The sequence below is a fragment of the Homo sapiens genome, chromosome 8 (genome assembly GCF_000001405.40).
Source record: "Homo sapiens chromosome 8, GRCh38.p14 Primary Assembly".
NCBI classification, from domain to species: Eukaryota; Metazoa; Chordata; class Mammalia; order Primates; family Hominidae; genus Homo; species Homo sapiens.
Window position 1 is genome coordinate 141,400,087 of NC_000008.11, and position 18,217 is coordinate 141,418,303.

Genomic DNA, 18,217 nt, shown 5'->3' on the forward strand with positions numbered 1-18,217 from the left:
TGGCATTTCACCATGTTAGCCGGGCTGCTTCTCCTGGACTCAAGTGATCCTCCTGCCCCAGCCTCCCAAAGTGCTGGGATTACAGTGTGAGCCACTGCGCCCGGCCCACCACTGTGCCTGGCCTGCCTCTGCGCCTGGCCCACCTCTGCGCCTGGCCCGCCTCTGCACCTTGCCCACCACTGTGCCCGGCCCACATCTGTGCCCGGCCCACCACTGTGCCAGGCGCAAACGTGGTTATTGTTTTAGACACACATTTGGTGATGTTCATTATAAAAATTCAAACAGCCTGGGAAATACACGGCTGCAGTAGCTCTGGGCTTCTGCTTCATTTCACAAGAACCGTGCCGGCCTCGGGTGCTGTTTTACAGTGTCACTTGAAATTTCCCTGGGTGTTGACTGGGGTCCTCTCCCGATGGCACCCTTGGACCCTGGTCTCTGGGTCTGGTCAGATGCTTGTTTATTAACCAGCCATCCCCCCACCCCCATGATGGGCTCTCCTAAGTGAGGCCATGGACAGCCAGGATGTGCGTCTCGGCACCGGGGTGAGTCTTTCTTGGCCCGCTGGCAGAACCCTGGGTCAGATGGGAGGGTTGTTGGTGCCCGGCTGTGTGTCTGCCAGCCCCTTCATCCCTATCCTGGCTGCTGTGTAGCTCCTGCCTCCCCATAACTCTTGGGGGGCTGCCCGGGTCCACACTGGCCCCGTGGGGATGGCAGTAGGCAGAGAGGGGCGGTCCTGACCCCAGAGAAATCCCATGGGTGAGTAGGACTTGTAGGAGATGGCAGTTCCCTCCCTGGAGCATGTGTCCCCAAGACTTAGAGGTCGTGGTGGGGCAGGAAGCAGGTAGTCAGGGTGGGCTTTTGGGAGGAGATGGCATCACAGTACGGAGGGAGTCATGCACGAGGCACCAGGAAGGGGCAAGCCGGGTGAGGACAGGCTCCTCCTGGGGACCCAGGACCTGACGGAACGGCATCACTCTTAATGGCACCGTCGCGAGCCTCTTCTGGGCCAGCAGCCGGAGCTCACCCAGGGCACATCCTTAAACCTCAGGGTCCCCTGGTGGCAGCTGCCATGGTCGTCCTGTTTCCCAGGGAGGGAAGCTGGTGTCTGAGGCTGGCACTCTGCTAGGTAGCACAGTTGGGGAGTGGCAGTGCTGGGATGGAAGACAGACAAGCTGGCACCTGCACATCTGCACGTCCTGTCGTTGAGGTGACCTCTAGCCAGCCAGCTCATCTGCTCCTTTGCAGATGAGGCCAGAGAGACGGGAGTCTCTGGTGTGGAGGGGAGGGCACTGGGTTTGGTGGGCTGGCCCTGGGGTAACTTGCCTGCCTGTGCTTCAGTGTCCCCCTCTGTAAACAGGGTGTGACGTCCCCCCGGCCATGTCGGAGGCTCCGAGAGGGCAGCGGGTCCATCTCAGCAGATGCTCTGCTGACGGATGCTGCTGGCTGGCCCCTGCTCCCACCCTCCCCTCCTTTGGTAGCCTCCCTGGGCCGGGCTGTTCCCACGGCTGCCCAGCCACAGGAAGCCATCTGGAGGCCTTGTTTACCCCTCCCCCTGGCCTCCCTGGCAGGAAGTCACCGGAAGGGCCGTCCCGAGGGGCCCCGGGCCTGTGAGGACAGCCATCGGCTCAGAGGTCTGTGCTGTGGAGTCCCAGGATAGCATGCGGGGGCAGGGAGCTCAGAGAACAGCAGGTGGAGCGGGGCTCCAAGGCACTGGAGCACGTGGGCCGGAGCATGGACAGAACCATTTACCGAGCGCATCCATCTGTCCATCCACACAGTCACCTACCCCTCCCCCGCTGTGGCCCCAGCAGGGCCCAGTCCCATGAAGCTCACAGTCTCAAGGCATGGACGAGGCCACTCCAGCTTCAGCCCAGGGGGGCCCCGTGATGCCAGGGCCATTCCTCCAGCTCCCGGGATCCCACACCTCCCCTGATATCACACAAGCCACCCTGGGTCGGGGCTGGAGGAGGAGACCTGGGCAGCAGCTGGGGTGTCCAGGAGAAGGGAGTTGGGGAGAGGGGTGCCAGCAGAGGGTGCAGCCTCTAGAAACATTGGAGGCCGCCCTGGGTGACGGGTCTGAGGCTGCAAGGTGTGGGTGGAGCAGGTGAAGGGAGAGGTGGGCAGGCACAGCTGGCAGGGGCTGAAGGCATGGATGGGACCAGTCGGGGTACTTGTGGCCCTGCAGAACCCCTCTCTCCACCACCTCCTCCAGCCCTCTGGCGCCCTGCTCAGGGAGGGCTCCCCCAGATAACCCTGTAGGTCTGGACCCTCCTGGAGTGGGCTCAGGGGCCTGGGTTTCCACTCCACAGGATGGGTCCAGCTGCCCCGGCATTTGTGGCAGCCCCAGTGCCCACTGACAGGCCTGAGTGTAGCTGGCTAGGCCCAGGGCCTTTCCCACAGACACTGCCAGCAGGGACTACCTGGCCCTAGGGGGATCTTTGACCTCCGTGGGGCCTTGCGCCCTGTGTTCTTGGCGGCCTCGCGCCTGTCCCGGCCTCCTGCCTTCGGGAGCTGGGTGGAGTGGGGGCAGGCAGCCCTGCCCCCGCCCACATGGGGAGGCTGAGGATTGGCCCTTCCGCCTCTGGCTACCCCTCTTCCCCTCCCCCATACCTCCTGCTCCCCTTTTTCCTCACTTTCCCCCCACCCCTCCCCCCTGCTTCCGCTTTCTCATCCCTTTAGAAGGTGCCTACTCATGATCGTCTTGAGTAAAGCCCTCCCTGAGAGTGTCTTGGGGTTTCGGGCCTGGCAAGCATCCCCAGCCTCCCCTGAAGAGGAAGTGAGCGTGAGAACCGGGCCTTTGGCGGATCCAGGTGCCTGCGGGCAGCCCGGGGGCTTGTTTGTTGGGTGCCTGGCCAGCGGGCCGGTCCAGAGCAGGAATAGATGTCTCAGGAGGGTCCCTGGCTGGTCCCAAGCACCTCCTGTGTGCACCAGGGCCGCTGTTCTTCCGTCCAGCCTCCCAGCAGCCCTGGGGTGTGGGTGCCTCTGATTCGGAGGGAGTGACGGGACTTAGGGTTAGCCAGCTCCCCAGGTCAGAGACGCAGAGCCCTGGGCCAACCCCAGGATGAGCCCCATCAGCCTCTCCTTCCTGACTCATTCAAGATAGTAAGTGAAAGAGGGCATGCAACCAGCACGCAGCCCCAGAGGAAGGCTGCAGCGGCCTCGCGCGGGGCCAAGGAGGCTGGGCACCGTGTGTGCCGTGGCACTGCCCTCCCTGGTGTTGCTGATGCTGCTGAGATGGGAGAATGTTGTGGGATTCTGGGGGAGGCTCTGGTCTGAGAGTCCCGAGCCTGGGGAGATGGCCTGGCTGGGCCCAGGCTGGCCACAGGGGCACCCCAGACTTTTTTCCTGGGCATGGTGTACAGTAAGTCCTCACATCACATCATCCATAAGTTCTTGGAAGCTGCGGCTTTAAGCAAAACGATGCCAGTTTTAAGTGAAAATTGGTTTAAGGACACTAGTGTTCCCATAAGTTGATAGAGATAGATAAGAGTTAAGTTCCTGCCAGGTATTTCTGGTCACAAAAACGTCACCAGGCTTCCAATGAAGACCCCAAACACTTCTAACATTAAACACTGAAGTAAATGTGAGCTACACATACATGTAAGAAAAGTGAATTAAACAGGGAAGAGAATTGCTTCCCCAGCTTTCCGTGGGCCAGTGAGTGGTAACGGAACACACATCTCACGGCAACCATGGTCGGGAGCTCCTCCTGCCACCACGCACTTCAAAATCAAACGATCACAAACGTGGCGGCTTCCTGTATTGCCACGCATTCGTCTGACTATGTCTATTTGACGAATTTTTATTTTGCAATAATTTTTATTCATTTATTCATTCATTTTCCAACCCACTAATTCCAGTGCAGGGTCATGAGTGGCTGAGCCTGTCTCAGCAGCTCTGGGCACAAGGTGGGACCTGACTCTGCTCAGGACACCATCCCCTCTCGGGGCACACTCCCATGCACAGCCACACCCACTCAGCCAGGGCCACGGCGACACGCCTGTTCACCGGATGTGCACAGCACTGGGGTATGGGGGAGCCGGAGGACAGGGAGAAAACCCACACAGACCTGGGGAGCTCGTGCACATGCCACGCAATGGCCCTGAAAGGGAAGCGATTTTTTTTTCTCGTCAGCGTTATCACAAAACCACGTTGAAAGCAACAGTGTTATTTGAGGAGCTGCTGTACTTGACGGATGGTGCAGGACAAGGTGGGCCCTCTTCGGGGCCTCTGCGCCTCTCCCCCTTTCAGGGGGTTGGGGTAGAAACTGGATCAAGGATAGGGGACTCTCATAGGATTGGAGGGTCCATTGGGGCAGGGCCCCCCAGCAGCTGAGGGCCTCTCTCCCCCTGTCCTGGGGTCCTGGGGTCTCTGGCCCCCATGAGTCCAGCTCCTGATTGCTCTGCCAAGTTTGCTGTCATGCCAGGAACTAAGCCTTTCTCCTCGTGAGCTCTCTTGCACCCACAGTATAGCCATGGTATTCAGTAGGTGCCCAGTAAGTGTGGGCTGGTGAATGGGCCTCCAGGGAGGTGGGATTTGGATGGACAGAATGGACGGGTCCTTGGGAGGTGGTACTGAGTCAGCAGAGGCTTGGGGGCAGAGCATCTCTGCAGAGGCAGGGGCTCCATCCTCAAGGACCCCCTGAGGGCCTCCAGGAGGAGGCAGCCATGGGGTGCGTGGGGAAGTAGGAGTGGCAGCTCTGAGTCAGCTTGTCCCAGCTCTGAGCTCCCTCCCGCACCTACCTGTCTCCACTGTGGGGGCCACACAGCCTTTACATATAAAGGGCATGGAGCAGCGCCTGGCACTCAGGCTGCCAGTACCACCAACTGGCAGCACTCATTGGGCACTGACTGTCTACATTGCCAGGAGTGTTCAAGAAGTAATTTAAACTGCCAGAAATCCTCATCCCACGGCATTAACTGACACCTGCTTTGGGCCTGACCCTGTGCCTGATCCTGGGGACCTGGCATGGGTCAGTCAACGCTCCCTGTCTGCCGCCCACAGTCCATGACAGGGACAGACAAGTCACGAACAGGGCTGCAGGGGCTGACCCAGGAATGAGCAGGACCTCTCTGGGACTGTTTAGGGCTTTGGCCCCCTGGTGAGGGAGCAGCGAGGCTGTGGGGACCCAGGTCCCTTGGGCCTTGCATGCCTGGCTCCTGATCCTGTGGGCCCCATGCAGAAGTGGCCCCCAGTTCTTTCTGGGTGCTTGGCATGTCCAGTCTTCCTTGGGGGCTCCCCAGGCAATTTTGGCTAGACACCCAGCAGACGCTCCTTCCTCCAGGCCCCCCAACCTCCGGGTCCCTGAGGTCGGAGCCAGTTTTCCCCAAGACCACCCAAGCAGTGACTTTGGGTCCACCCACAGATGCCCTGGTCACTGTGTTGCTGGGAGTGCTTGGGTGAGAAGGAATGGCTGCGGGCGGGTCTTCCTTTCTTCATCCTCAGCATCCTCATCCATCACTGAGGATGCTTGTCTCTGCCTTACTCCCACTCACAGGACAGTCGAATATGTTCACACATCCACTGAGCCAGCACCTGCTGTGTACGGTGCCCATTGAGAACCAGGGAGCCGAGGGTGGAGCTGTGGCCGGTCTCTTGTCCTGCGTGGGGAGAGAGGCTGACAAGCTTTGCCAGAAGGGGGACAGATGATCCCTACTGTGTGTGGGGGACAGAGGACAGGTCTCGGTGGCTAGCAGGAGGAACAGGAGGATGCTGAACCTGAGATCCGAGTGGTAAGAAGGGGCCAGCACCGGACGATGTGGGGACAGAGCATGCTCCTGGCCTCCAGCACAGGCAGTGCAAGGGCTCGGAGGCAGGACTGTGCTTGGCAAGTTGCAGGAACAGCTGGGAGGCAGGTGAGGCTACAGCAGATGAGGAGAGGGGAGTGGTAGGAGGTCAGAGGGCAGGGAGCAGCTCGCGTGGGGCCTTTAGGGCGATAAGGATTTTTGGCTTTCCTGAGTGACGCGGGCACCACTGGAGGCTTTGAGCGGAGGGGGCTATGATCTGACTTAGGTCGAGGACACTGGTGGGGGCAGTGGTGGGGATACCCAGGATGCCAGATGGGTATCCCAGATTCTTGGTGACCCTCGGTAGCCCCTCTGGGCGGTGGCTTTAGGCATCTGGGCTCAGGTGTCACCATTTCACTTGTCGGCCACCCACGGCTGCTTCCTGCCCCATCTGGGGATTCCGGGGACTTTCCATTTCCTCACCTTGCACTTGATTCTGTGATGTGCCTGGACTGGGGATTGTGGAGGCCTGTCCGTGCCCTGAAGCACTTCTGAGAAGCCGGGGAGCAGTTCCCTGGGGTTTCCCCTGGGAAGTCCTGCCGTCCTCTTTCTGCTGCCACCCAGAGCCCGCCCTTTCCGGAGAGCAGTTCCCTGGGGTGTCCCCCTGGGAAGTCCTGCCCTCCTGCCTCTGGCCCTTGCTCAAGCCGCGCCCCCATCTGGATGCCCACTTCTTCCACTCTGCTCTGTTGGACCAATTAGGCCAACTCTGGGGATATGTGACCCCAGTGTTTGTGATCAAACGGGGCCCAGACTCATTGACATCCTGCGTGAACTACAGTTTTGGTAGAGGTGCAAGTGGATTCTGTGTGGCACAGAAGATGGCGAGTGGTGACGGCTGTGTTGCCTGCATGCCACCGACAGCCCGCCTCTTCTTTCCATCTTAATCCATCTTGCCAGCTCTCAAGGGCTGTAGGCACTTCGCCCTGAATCCTCCTCTGAGCCGGCTTTGCCTCCTGCTGTTCCCACTGAGCGAATTAAATAAGTCTTTGCCCTGTGCCCACTGTATGTGCAAGGTCATGCAGGTTATGCTTTGAACTTCCAAAAATGCGCTCAGAAATCTTTCCTGTCCTCTAGGGCCCATCTCTGATGCCACCTTCACCTTCTGGATTCTCTCCAGGGGAGGAGGTCAGGCCCTTGGGAGGTACCCTTTGCCCTCTCTGCTGGGGATCCTGGAGAGTCCCTCCCCAACTCCCCTGGCCACTGGGACCTCTCTTCCTCCCTGACCTGCCCAGCATCCTCCCTTGGCAGCCTGGCACAGCCCGGACAGAACCTAGAAGGTGTGGATTCTGCCTGCCTGCCCTGTGTCCCCACAGTCCACATGCTGGCCTGGACTCTCAGGCCTCCCCACCTCCAGTCCCTCTCCTGCCCTCTCCATTCCTTCACACACGTGGGCACAAAGCTGGGGCTTCTGTAAGGGTGCATCTGGTAGGACCTCAACCTCCCGTACCCAATGGGGTCTTGGGAGAACAGAAGTTGTGGGTGATGGTTAAGGTGTAGCCCTCTTCCCAACCTTGCACAGCCCCCTGGCTCAGTCCCTGAGGGTAAAATTCAGACAGAGCTGGAAATGACCCAAATGTCCATCAGCTGAGGATAAACGAAATGTGGCAGGCCCACAGAGTAGAACAAGCTTGCCCAGCCAGCAGCGCGGCCCAGGACGGCTTTGAATGTGGCCCAACACACATTCATAAACTTTCTATTTTTTTTTTTTTTTTGAGATGGAGTCTCACTCTGTTGCCCAGGCTGGAGTGCAGTGGTGGGATCTTGGCTCACTGCAACCTCCACCTCCTGGGTTTAAGTGATTCTCCTGCTTCAGCCTCCCAAGTAGATGGGATTACAGGTGCCCGCCACCACACCCAGCTAATTTTTGTATTTTTAGTAGAGATGGGGTTTTGCCATGTTGGCCAGGCTGGTTTCAAACTCCTGACCTCAAGTGATCCACCTGCCTCAGCCTCCCAAAGTGGTAAGATGACAGGCGTGAGCCACCGTGCCTGGCCAAATTTGTAAACTTTCTTAAAACATCATGAGGTTTTTTGTTGTTGTTGTTGTTCATCAGCCATCATTAGCGTTAGTGTATTTTATGTGTGGTCCTAAACAATTCTTCCAGCGTGGCCCAGGGAAGCCAAAAGATTGCACACTCCTGCAGTAGAATATAGGCGGCCAACAGGTGGAGCGGGCACAGACTCAGGCTGCGCCGTGGCTGAGCCTTTACGACGCCAGGAGAAGCGAAAGGAACCAGGCGCAGAGGGCCACGTGGTGTGTGAGGCCATTCACAGCAAATGTCCTGAACAGGCAAGTCCACAGAGACAGAAAGCAGACTTGTGGTTGCCAGGGGCTGGGGGAGGAGGGGTGGAGTGACTGCTGGTGGGAGGGGGCGATGGAAGTGTTCTGGAATTAGTGGTGATGATTACACAGCACTGTGAATATATTAAAAACACTGAAGGTTACACTTTAAGATGGCTAAAATGACTGGGCCTGGTGGCTCACGCCTGTAATCCCAGCACTTTGGGAGGCCAAGGTGGGCGGATCACCTGAGGTCAGGAGTTTGGGACCAGCCTGGCCAACATGGCGAAACCCTGTCTCTACTAAAAATACAAAAATTAGCCGGTTGTGGTCATGGGCGCCCGTAATTCCAGCTACTTGGGAGGCTGAGGCAGGAGAATTGCTTGAACCCGGGGGCGGAGGTTGCAGTGAGCTGAGGTCGTGCCACTGCACTCCAGCCTGGGTAACAGAGCGAGACTCTGTCTGAAAAAAAAAAAAAAGACTAAAATGGTGGATTTCATGTGTTATGAATTTTATCTCAAAAAATAAATTAGGATAGCACCCCCGCCTACACAGACTCTGTCCTGAGCAGCTCTCAGAAGTCCGTAAAATAGGGTGAAAGTGTCGTTGCCCTGCCCCCGGGTTCCCAGTGCTGTGGGGACGTCACCAGCTGCTGGGGAACAGAGGGATGCTGGCACCCACCCAGGGCTCAGGGCAGGGCAGGAGCTTGGTGTGCGCTAGAGACTAGAGTGAGAAGGCCCTTCCCCGGCCCTCACAGAGTGCCTTGCCACTGGGGAGTTGAGTGAAGGCACAGACAAGGTTGTGAGGTACCCACGCTGCCGTGTAGTGTCACCACGCCCTGATGTGTATAACCTGTTTTCTTTGCTCATCTGGGTGGACTGGTGGGGCATTTGATTCTGGAGGGTGGGGTTCCAGTCTGCATGGTTCCCTGGGGATCCCTGGCCCCAACATGAAGGCAGTGTGGCCTGAGGGCCTCTCAGTCCCCAAGGTGCTGACCCACCGCTGCCTTTCCCGAGTCCTCCCTGGGCCCTGCTAGGGGAGGCCTGGGAGCTGCAGCATCCAACAGGCCCGTGTGAATGGCCTGGCCACAGCACTGCCAGACAGGGCAAAGTTCCTGGCCCGGGGCTGTCTCTGAGCCCTGGAGCTGGCGGGGTAGGGATCAGCTCCTGTGAGCTCCCTCCATCCCCAGATCCACCCTTCAGGTCCAGGGCTATTTGGTGGCAGCTCCTGGTGGGGCAGGGGGATGGGAGGGATGGGAGCCTCCATCTGTGGACCCGGCACCCAGTCTGCCTGCAGGCCTGGTGATTGTGGCCCGACCTCCTGCCCACCCCTTCTGGGCACCACGGCGATGCCCAGAGCCCCTGAGGGGCTGTGCAGGCAGGGCATAAGATGGCAGAGGGCTCCACATAGCCCCTAGGCTGGCAGGATGTGTTCTGAGCTGAGGTCCTCTGGAAAGCGCCTGTGGATTTCTGGCCCCTCCCTGGTGTGTTCCCCACCTGCCTGCTGAGCCTTCAGATGCCTGGGAGAGCAGGTCTCCCTTAGGTCCGCTGGTTCTGATGGTTCCCCTCCTTCTCTCCTGGGAGCTGGGCAGGTGCTCAAAGCGGGCAGTGCAGGCTGCCCAGCGTGCCCAGCTCCCAGGATGCACCATGTGACCCAGGCCCCCTCCTGCCCTGCTTGCGCTGGCGAGGGGCCGTGGCTGGGTGCCCAGCGGTGCCTGCGGGGGCCCACTCCCTGGGGCAGTGCCTGCCTGCCACCCACCTGGGCTGGGCATCCAGTCTGGCCTTGGCTGTTGTCATGGCAGCCAATGCCTGCAGCCGGGAGCTAAACTTGCTACCCTCAAGCCACTGTCACCACGGCTGTGACGAACATGGGGACATACAGCCTGGGTCGGGGAGGTGACCAGGCCTGGCTCTGCCCAGCCCCTGCTGCGGACGGTCACCGCGGTCACAGCCCACATGGCCTGCCTGCCACCCCCTCATGCCATGGCCTGGGCTGTCTGAGGTTCTGTGTCATGGATGAGGCCCCAGGATCACAGAAGTGCCCACAGCCACACAGACGGGCAGGAGTCGGGAGGCCCCGGCCCCCAGGCTCCCAGCCAGACTGGGGGAGTGGGGCTGGCCCAATCTGGAGTTGCCAAGGTGGGGTTCGGTGAGGCACCATTGTTGCTAGTGCCTGGTTTCAAAAACATTCCAGAAATGCCCTGCTGGCCACCTGCCTGGCTCTGAGGTCCCCACATCTGTGGAGGAACAGGGGCTTTAAGAAGCCCTGCGGGGAAGAAGCCCCATCCACGCAGGCTCCCCTGAGGGTTCTGAGGCACCTGCTGGGAACTGTGGTCTTCTTGGGGCGCTCGGTGTCCTCACAGCCCCTGTGGGTACCTGGCAAAGTGCCAGTGTTCCAGGGACTCAAGCGAGGCCTCTTGGAAAGGGTAATAATGTCCCTCAGATCCCAGGAGAAAACCAAGGGCAGGTCCATGAAGGACAGCCTTCCAGCGAACCCATCCTACAGACGAGCACACTGAGGCACAGAGGACAGCCTTCCAGCGAACCCATCCTACAGATGAGCACACTGAGGCACAGCGAGGTTGAGGGATGTACCCATCACACAGCTCACAATGGGGAGCCAGGAGGGGAACCAGGTCACACAGCCCTGTGTGAGGACAGTGGCCATGGGCTGAGCAATGGCCAGGCCTTGCGGGTGGAAAGGAGCTGTCCCCTCCCCTGGACCCCAGAGAACCCACCTGCCTTGGCTTTGAGCTGAGCTTTGAGCCGGGGTCACTGGCTGAGTCTCGCACCCTCTCTGAGCCTCAGGTTCCCCATTTGTCAGATGGGGAAGGCCAAGACCCAGGGTAGATGGAGCCTGAGTCAGTGCTGGCAGCACTGGCGTTGTGGGCTGGCAAGGCGTGGGGCACCTCTGTGTGCATGGGGTGGACCTGTGTGTGCCTAGCAGCCTCCCTGCCACAAACCACCCTCCTCCTGTATGCCAGGGTCACAGGAGCTGAAGACAGTGGCCGAGCCCCGCTTTTTCTGCCCCCTCTTGATTGTTTCAGGGACGAGGTCTGGTTCTTTGTCAACCCAAGTGCCCAGCACAAGGCTTGGCATATGGTGGTGGCCTGTAAAAGCCAGTGATGTGACTATGAAACCAATCCACTCATAGCACTGCACGTGCTTTTTGGGAGGGAGCTGGCTCAGAGAGGAAAGGCCATCAGCACTGGTCCCCCCAGTAGGATCTAGGCACCATGGGGAACCTGCGGGCCCCTCCAGCCCCTCCACCATGTGTCCTGGGGGTAGCCCTATCCCCCTGGGCCTCAGTGGCGCCGTGTGCACTGGCTCTGGGGGTGCCAGGCTGCGTCTCACCATCGGGCCAGCCCAGAAATAGCTGTGACCTTCCGCAGCCAGCTTGGCAGCGCTTGGGGCCAAGAGGCCTACGTGCATGCCGGCTGAGTCCCCTCACCGTGCAGGGCTGGCTATTTTGGACGTGGCCTCCCGAGGCCAGGTCAGAGCTCTTTCCCGCGGTTCCTCAGGCCCCTCTGACGTGCGTCCACTAGAGCCTCGGCCAGTGGCCCTGGCTAGCTCCATGATCTCGATCCCCCTTCCTGTCCCCGACCCCACGGGCCCTGGGTGGCACAGAGGAAGGGATCCCAGGGACTGAGCACAGGGTGACCGCGCCTGCTGGGGCTGACATGGAGTGTAGGGCTTGGCTGTTTTAAGAAGAAAATGCAGAGAAAGTGCCCACCCTGGGTAGGCCCTGAATCCTGTCTCAGCCTCTCAGAGCTCTCGCTGACTGCACAGCCTGAGCCTCGGTTTACTCATCCACAAAATGGGGTGATGGGCGCCTTCCAGGACTGCTCTGAGGATGGACATGGGCATTGCCTGTGCTGAGGGCACCACGCGAGGCCACTACACAGAGGGGTTCTTGGGCCTTCTCCGCCTTCCATGGGACTGGACACTGGGTTCAGGGAGGGGCGTCATGGGTATATGGGGGTGCTGCGCTGGGCAGTGGCTAAGCGTGGGCTCTTCCTTTTCTGTGACACAGCAGAGGTGTACATGCCTGCTGCCCTGTCCAGGGCGTCTGGGTATGGTGGAAGTGGCCCCAAGGTCCAGCCACCCTCAGGGACCACAAGCTTCCTGGACACCCTGCTGACAGGGTCCCACTGTGGAGGAACAGGCCGGCCCAGCTCCCCACCTCCCAAGTGAGCATGGGTGGCTGGGTGGGCGTGAGGGATTGGCTCCCCTGCTAGAGGGCAGAACTCCTGTTCCCGTGAAGGTGCTGGGTGGGGTGTGAGTCTGCTCCTGGGTTTGGGGTCAGGCATGCCAGGAACAGCAAGCAGGGGCTGCCTGCCTGCCTAGTGCTGGCTGCATGCTCATGGCCCTCAGGGCCCTGTCCCCTGGATGGTCCAGGGGTCCCGAGGAGGAGCCATGGCCTCTTCTCCGTGGAGAGGCCCTGTGGGCCCAAGGCCTGGCTCCATCCAGGCAGGCACATGGAATTCAGCCAAACTCTGGATCCTTTCTGCAGAGCAGGCTTAGCTTGAGCCCTCCCACAGCGAGCTCGCCCACTGCCCACCCTGCCCTCTCAGCCTCTGTGACAACTCTGTGGGCACTGCCAGGGGCAGTTCCTGTGTATTCTCATCTGGTGATGGGTTCATAATTCTCATGTTGTGTGGGTGACTAACAAGGTCTGGGAGCTCAGGAGAGGGGCCCAGAGGCACACAGCATGCACGGGACGGTTTTGCAGTTCCCAGGGGGCACCTGGGGTGGAGGCTTAGCCAGGCCCAGTGGGCTCAGGGCTGGCCTCATGCCCTTCCCCTGTTGTGGACCACTTTGGGGCCTCTGGCTGATGCTGGTGGGTGAGGACCTTCCTGGGCAGCCTCCTCCGGCCAGCAGGAGGGACCATCAGGCCATGCGGACCCTTGGAGAGCTTGGGGGTCGGTTCCTGCCCTGGAGTCAGCTGTGTCTGCTGAGGGTCCACTGGTGTGTGGCACAGAAGGGGTAGGGGCTGTGCCTGGTGTGCCAGGGAGGCCCTGAACTCTCCGGGAGGCCAGATCAGGGGCCTCCTCTGGGCCTGCTGGGGGCCTCTGCATTCTTGGCAGGGCCTCAGGGACTGGGGCGGGGAGAGGCTCCTTCTCAGAGGCTGTGAGCTCCGAATGAAACTCCATGCCCTCCGGGACACCATGCCCACTTCTGGGTACTGGCCTTCAGGGGCCTTGGATGTGGGTGGCATGGCACTGGCTAAATGGGGCCCAGGAGGAAGGCAGCAGGACCGTGGGCATGCAGGCCTAATGCCAGGGCCAGGGCAGGCTTCATGTGGGCTTCCTCCTGTCTGGAATCCTGGAGCCGCACAATTTCCGACCCAACACCCCGTACTCCAGAGCGACTGGCTCTTAACGGAAGCTGCTGCTGGCAGGTGTGTTATAACAGAGCTCTGGGGTGGGAGGCTGGGGGCAGGGAGGGTTAGGGCCGTCAGAACACGGCTCCCTCCTGCCCAGGGCAAGGTGGGGCCACGTGTGCGCATGTGAGTGGGGCACCTGGTCTGGGTGTGGCCTGGGAACCTGCATGTTACAGACGCCATGGCTTTGGAAACACTCAGGAGTCCAGCTGTGTCTGTTCCAAGATGGGTCAGGGTTGCCGCAGGGAGGGCAGTGACTGGTCCACAGCTGGTGTGGCTGTGCCATCCTCCTTCCAGCCTGGGCAGAGGCCTTCCAGGCAAGATGAAAGATGCGGTATGGACAGGAGGACATGGAGGATTCAGGGCTCTTGGTGTAAAGATGCTGTGTGGACAGGAGGACATGGAGGATTCGGGCTCACGGTGTCCCTGGAGGCTCTGGTGGGCGTCGTGGGGCTGGACTGCTGCGGGGCAATGGGGTCCCCATCTTCCCGGCACAGGCATCTGATCTGGTCATCTGTTTCTGTGGCGTGTGTGTGTGTGTGTGTGTGTGCACGTGAGCACACATCTCTGTGTATGCAGGTCAGTGTGTGTGCTTGCCAGAGCTTCCCATTGGGCGGTTTCCACACTGGCTTCTCAGTCATCCTGGGAGGTAAGGCATGAGCACTGGACTGGGAGTCCTGTCTGAGCCACCGACTTGGCCTGCCATTGTGGAGCTGTCCTGTCCACTCGCTGGACATTAGGCCATTTGTGTACAATAATCCCCTGAGATTTGTATCCTCCCATGGGGAGATCAAAAGGGGCCGAGTGTGGCCCTAGGGTCTGGGGGCCCAGCCTGGTGGGTAGACCTGGCTTCTGGGACTGTAGTGGTGGAAGGTGGCTGGGGCAGGGGAGGTTCACTCACTGGGAGGCTGGAAGAGGTGGCCCGGTAGGGAGAGAGAAGGGCAGCCAGACAGAGGGCACGTGGGAGCAGCAGCCTGGTGGCAGGTGTGTGAGTCTCTGCACCTGGCCGGGGTCTTGAGGAGCAGGAGAGGTTCGGGCAGGTGGCTGAGGAGAATGCGGGCACTGAGCTTGGGAAGAGCCCTGGACTGGGGGGGGGGTAGGGACTGTTGGGCAGCCCCAGACTGGCACAGGTGGATCGGGTGCCTAGGCAGGGGGTGGTGAGTTATGGCGCAGCTGTCTTGGTGGCTGGGGGGAGCAGGGATAAGGGTGGACTTCTTAGTGACCGCTCTCTGCCCCAGGAGGTAGAGTCCTGGGGGCTGGGCTGGCCTGAGAGACGCCCCCTCATCCTTTCCAGGGTGAGGTACGAGGGCTCCGCCCCCTCCTGATATCACCAGGCCTAGGGCAGCATCCTGATGGGGGAGGGGCAAGTGACCCGGGCCCTGGACTGCAGGAACAGCCCCTCCTCCACTGGTGGAGTTCCCACTTCCTGCGGAAGGAACTATGTTAGAAGTTGTGTATATGGGGTGGGGGTTGGGTGTGGGTGGCGGGGGGCCTGGGTGGGGTCCACTGAGTCGCCTCCCCTGTCTCCCTGCACTTCCTCCTGGAGGAAATGGGGACAACAGGATGAAGTGAGGGCCTGCTGAGCCCAGGGCTGCCACCTGGGAGTGAAGCCGGGGCAGGCTGCAGGGTCCGGGCCCTTCTGTGTGGGCAGGTGGAAGTGGTGGGGATGCAGTGAGGCTCCCTCCAGCGCGGCAAGGAACGGGCCCTGGGACCCTCTTCCCAGCCTGCAGCAGGCAGTGGGGAGACAGGCCGGAGCCCTGGACAGCCCCCAGTCTTTCCCCACCCCAACTACAGGGCCTGGGTCTCCGTGCGCCATCCCCCTCCCGCCCCCTCCCGCTCGCTCCCGCTGTTACAGGGCCCTAGGGACCGCCCTGTCCCCCGTGGGCCCCAGAGCCCAGGCCAGCGCTGGAGGGACCCTCCTGCCCTCTGGCCGGGACCAGGGTGCCCGCCGCAGCCCTGGGACCCTGCGGCCCCGGTCCCTATTCGAGGCCCCAGCCGGAGCGTTCCGGGATCCTTCGGGGGAGTGCCCAGCCCCGCGCCCCCGCCTCCCACATGACTCCGGGTGGGCCCTTTTGACGTGCGCGGAGGGCGGGGGGCAGGGGGCGGGGCGGGGGGGCAGGGGGCAGGGGTGGTGAAGGGTAGGGGGCGTGGCGGGGAGAGGGGATGGGGTGGGGTGGGGACTGGGGTGGGGTGGGGTGGGGAGAGGGTGTGGGGTGGGGTGGGGAGAGGGTGTGGGGTGGGGTGGGGAGAGGGGATGGGATGGCATGGGGGGATGTGGCAGTGAGGAGGCTGGGCCCTTGGAGCTGCCGAGTGCAGGGGCCTGGAGGACTCCGGGAAGGCGTCCTAGTGCATCAAGCGTGGGCTTGGCCTGCTTGGGTCTCCCCTCCTGGCCCCCCTAGCAATGGGCGGACTTGGGCCCGCTCTGGGAGGATTCCAGGAACGGCTCCTGCCTGGTTATAAATAGACTTCTCCGAAAGGCCTGGGGCTGTGCCAGCTGCAGCAGGTGCCTCCCAGGCCCGGCCAGAGGGCCCCAGGCAAGGGGGTGGAGCCCGGGTGGGGGTGATGAGGATGCTGGGGTCCACTTTTGTAGCGCCAGAGGCGACGGGCTCTGTCTGGTTGTAGCATCACAGAGCTTGATGGGAACTTTCACTCTGAGACCCCTTTTATGGATAAGAAAACTGAGGCTGGGGGGCAGGAGCAGCTTACCCCAGAGGTCCTCTCTCCCAGAGGGCTAGGGTGGGGATAAGCAGGGTCTCGGGGGCAGCAAGACCCAGCTCCAAATGTGGTTTTTCTGCCTTCTGGCTGTGTGACTCAGAAGGGTTGCTCAGCTTCTCTGTGCTGTTATGGTTTGTCAGTGCAGTGTGGCAGGTGTGTGTCTTGCTTGTGGAATGCAGTGTCTAGCCTGGTATCCTTAGAAAGTGGCTGAGGTTGGAGATTGGTGGGGCAGAGTCCCTGAAGCTGACCCATTCTTGCCTTCAACCTTCAGGGAGACGCTGCTGGAAGTGGTGAGCTGAGAGCACTGGGCAGGAGTCAGAGCCTAGCGTCTCCCTGTGGAGCTGGGTGCACCCACGTGGGTGGGTGCCCTTGCCAGGGAGCTCACACCCTTGGGGGTCCATGAGCTGGCAGGCAGGGCTACCTGGCTTGGTGTGCCCTTGGGTGGAGGCTCCCATGGGGCCCTTCAGACTGGGCACAGCCCTCCTGTCCTCTGCTCCCCAGCCTGCTTGCCCACCTGGAGGTGGGAGGAGGCGAGGGTTGCCGGCACAGCTGGGCCAGGCTGATGGTGATGTTTTCTGGAAGTGTGGGTGGGGAGAGCCTGGCAGGGGGAGGGGGGGTCGTGCTCTCAGCTGGGCCCCTTGATGACCTCAGATTGCAGGGACCAGGTTGTTTGAGAGCTGCAAGCAGGGCCACACCTCCAGGGACCCTGTGCTGGGGGTACCACCCTTGCCGCTCCACCCTGCTCTGAGGGCCCTGGGTGGCCAGGGCGGGCACAGAGTGGGTGGTGATGCCAGCTGCATCCCTGGGGTTCATAGTCTGGGGAGCACATGAGTTCCCGGCACAATGCTCCCAGGAGGCAGAGCCAGGAGTCGCAGGGAGGCGTTTGCTTGAGAGGGTCTGGGAGGGCTTCCTGGAAGAGGGGGCATCAGTGCCGAGCCTCAGAGTTTGTGGAGCCCGCCGCCTGGCTGAATCCTGCCTGCCGGTGTTACCTCAGGGTGTTCCTCGTTGCAGTGCCTCAGTTTCCTCACCAGTACGCTAGGAGAGACCAGCGTAGCCAGCCACAGCGGGGTCGTGAGGATTAAGTGAGGGGACAGCAGTGTCTGGCACGGTGGGTGCTGAGTAAATTCATGGAGGAGTGCCCGGGCGGTGGGGCTGGTGGGCTGGGCAGGGGGTCTGAACTGGAGGGACTCGGGCGCCCTCCTCCTCAGGGTGCAGGACAGCACCTGCACGGCGGGGCCGCATTTCCATTTCCAAAGCTGGGCGCGCTCTGTCCAGGCCTCCCCACCAGGAGCGCGGCCCGGCGGCTCCTGCCCTCCGGACCCCCAGCCCACAGGCCCGTGCAGCCCCATGAGGGGGCCAGGGGGAGCTCCGAGGTTCTAGGGAGGGCGCGCACCGGGAGAGGGCGCCGGGCCGGCCGGCGGGAGGAAGGAGGGGTCCCGGGCGGCAGCGCCCCCGGCCCTCGCCGCGCCCCGCACTTCCCTTTCCTGGCTGGGCTTCCTCTTCCCCGCGCCCGCCCTGCGCGGCCCCTTTGTTTCCCGGGCAGGGCGCGGCTATATTTAGGCGGCAGGTGTGGGAGCCCCCGGCAGCCGGGTCGCCCGCCGGTCACGCCCCCCACGTGACGCCCGGGCGCTATAAATAGCCGCAGGCGGCGGTGGCGGCAGCGCCTGGAGCCGGCTCCGCGGCGGAGGGGCGGCGCCCCGACCCAGGGCCAGCACCGTGGGCACCGCCAGGCCGGCGCGTATGGAGGCGGTGGGACGCCTGCGGCGCGGGTGAGCCTGGCAGGTGGGGACGCGGCGGACCCAGGCCTTCCGGGACCCCAGCCCCGCCGGGGAGGAGGTGGCGCCCTCCGGAGGGCTGGGCGGGAGCCCCGCTGGCACCCAGGGAGGGGGCCGCGCCCCTTACCACGACCCCACCCGCGACTGGTTCCCCGGGACTCCCCAGAGCGCCCGCCTCAGCCCTGACCGCGGCGCAGCTTACTTCTCCTGAGACCCGCTGAGCCCCGGGCCTCCAGCCTCCTCCCCCAAAATCACAGGGGGCGCCCTGTCTGAAGCGGG

The 18,217-nt window shown here is 61.8% G+C and overlaps 1 protein-coding gene across 28 annotated transcripts in view, besides 5 other annotated features; it reads left to right on the plus strand.

The window, feature by feature from the left end:
* PTP4A3 (protein tyrosine phosphatase 4A3) overlaps positions 1-18,217 on the plus strand; it is a 40,434-nt gene that overhangs the window by 8,066 nt on the left and 14,151 nt on the right. For 6 of the 28 annotated variants that reach the window (XM_047421287.1, XM_047421293.1, XM_024447057.2 and 3 more), the window contains exon 1: positions 17,823-17,932. The exons of 5 other annotated variants lie outside the window; for them this stretch is intronic. The gene's annotated coding sequence lies outside the window, so the exon portion shown is untranslated. Of the gene's footprint in view, positions 1-484; positions 13,467-15,314; positions 15,511-16,039; positions 17,272-17,822; positions 17,946-18,217 lie in introns of those variants that run through there. 17 more of the 28 variants (XM_047421292.1, XM_047421294.1, XM_047421289.1 and 14 more) reach the window with 8 other exon arrangements.
* Positions 2,824-3,587: an enhancer, noted in NCBI's record as "H3K27ac-H3K4me1 hESC enhancer chr8:142413010-142413773 (GRCh37/hg19 assembly coordinates)". NCBI's record gives its function as "activates a minimal SCP1, AML or CMV promoter by ChIP-STARR-seq in primed H9 embryonic stem cells {active_cell/tissue: H9 hESC(primed)}" and the evidence as "EXISTENCE:reporter gene assay evidence [ECO:0000049][PMID:30033119]".
* Positions 7,221-7,721: an enhancer, noted in NCBI's record as "H3K27ac hESC enhancer chr8:142417407-142417907 (GRCh37/hg19 assembly coordinates)". NCBI's record gives its function as "activates a minimal SCP1, AML or CMV promoter by ChIP-STARR-seq in primed H9 embryonic stem cells {active_cell/tissue: H9 hESC(primed)}" and the evidence as "EXISTENCE:reporter gene assay evidence [ECO:0000049][PMID:30033119]".
* Positions 11,161-16,166: an enhancer, noted in NCBI's record as "VISTA enhancer hs1882". NCBI's record gives its function as "enhancer in: blood vessels[8/8]" and the evidence as "EXISTENCE:transgenic organism evidence [ECO:0001131][PMID:17130149]".
* Positions 11,880-12,727: an enhancer, noted in NCBI's record as "H3K4me1 hESC enhancer chr8:142422066-142422913 (GRCh37/hg19 assembly coordinates)". NCBI's record gives its function as "activates a minimal SCP1, AML or CMV promoter by ChIP-STARR-seq in naive and primed H9 embryonic stem cells {active_cell/tissue: H9 hESC(naive and primed)}" and the evidence as "EXISTENCE:reporter gene assay evidence [ECO:0000049][PMID:30033119]".
* Positions 14,648-15,607: an enhancer, noted in NCBI's record as "H3K4me1 hESC enhancer chr8:142424834-142425793 (GRCh37/hg19 assembly coordinates)". NCBI's record gives its function as "activates a minimal SCP1, AML or CMV promoter by ChIP-STARR-seq in naive H9 embryonic stem cells {active_cell/tissue: H9 hESC(naive)}" and the evidence as "EXISTENCE:reporter gene assay evidence [ECO:0000049][PMID:30033119]".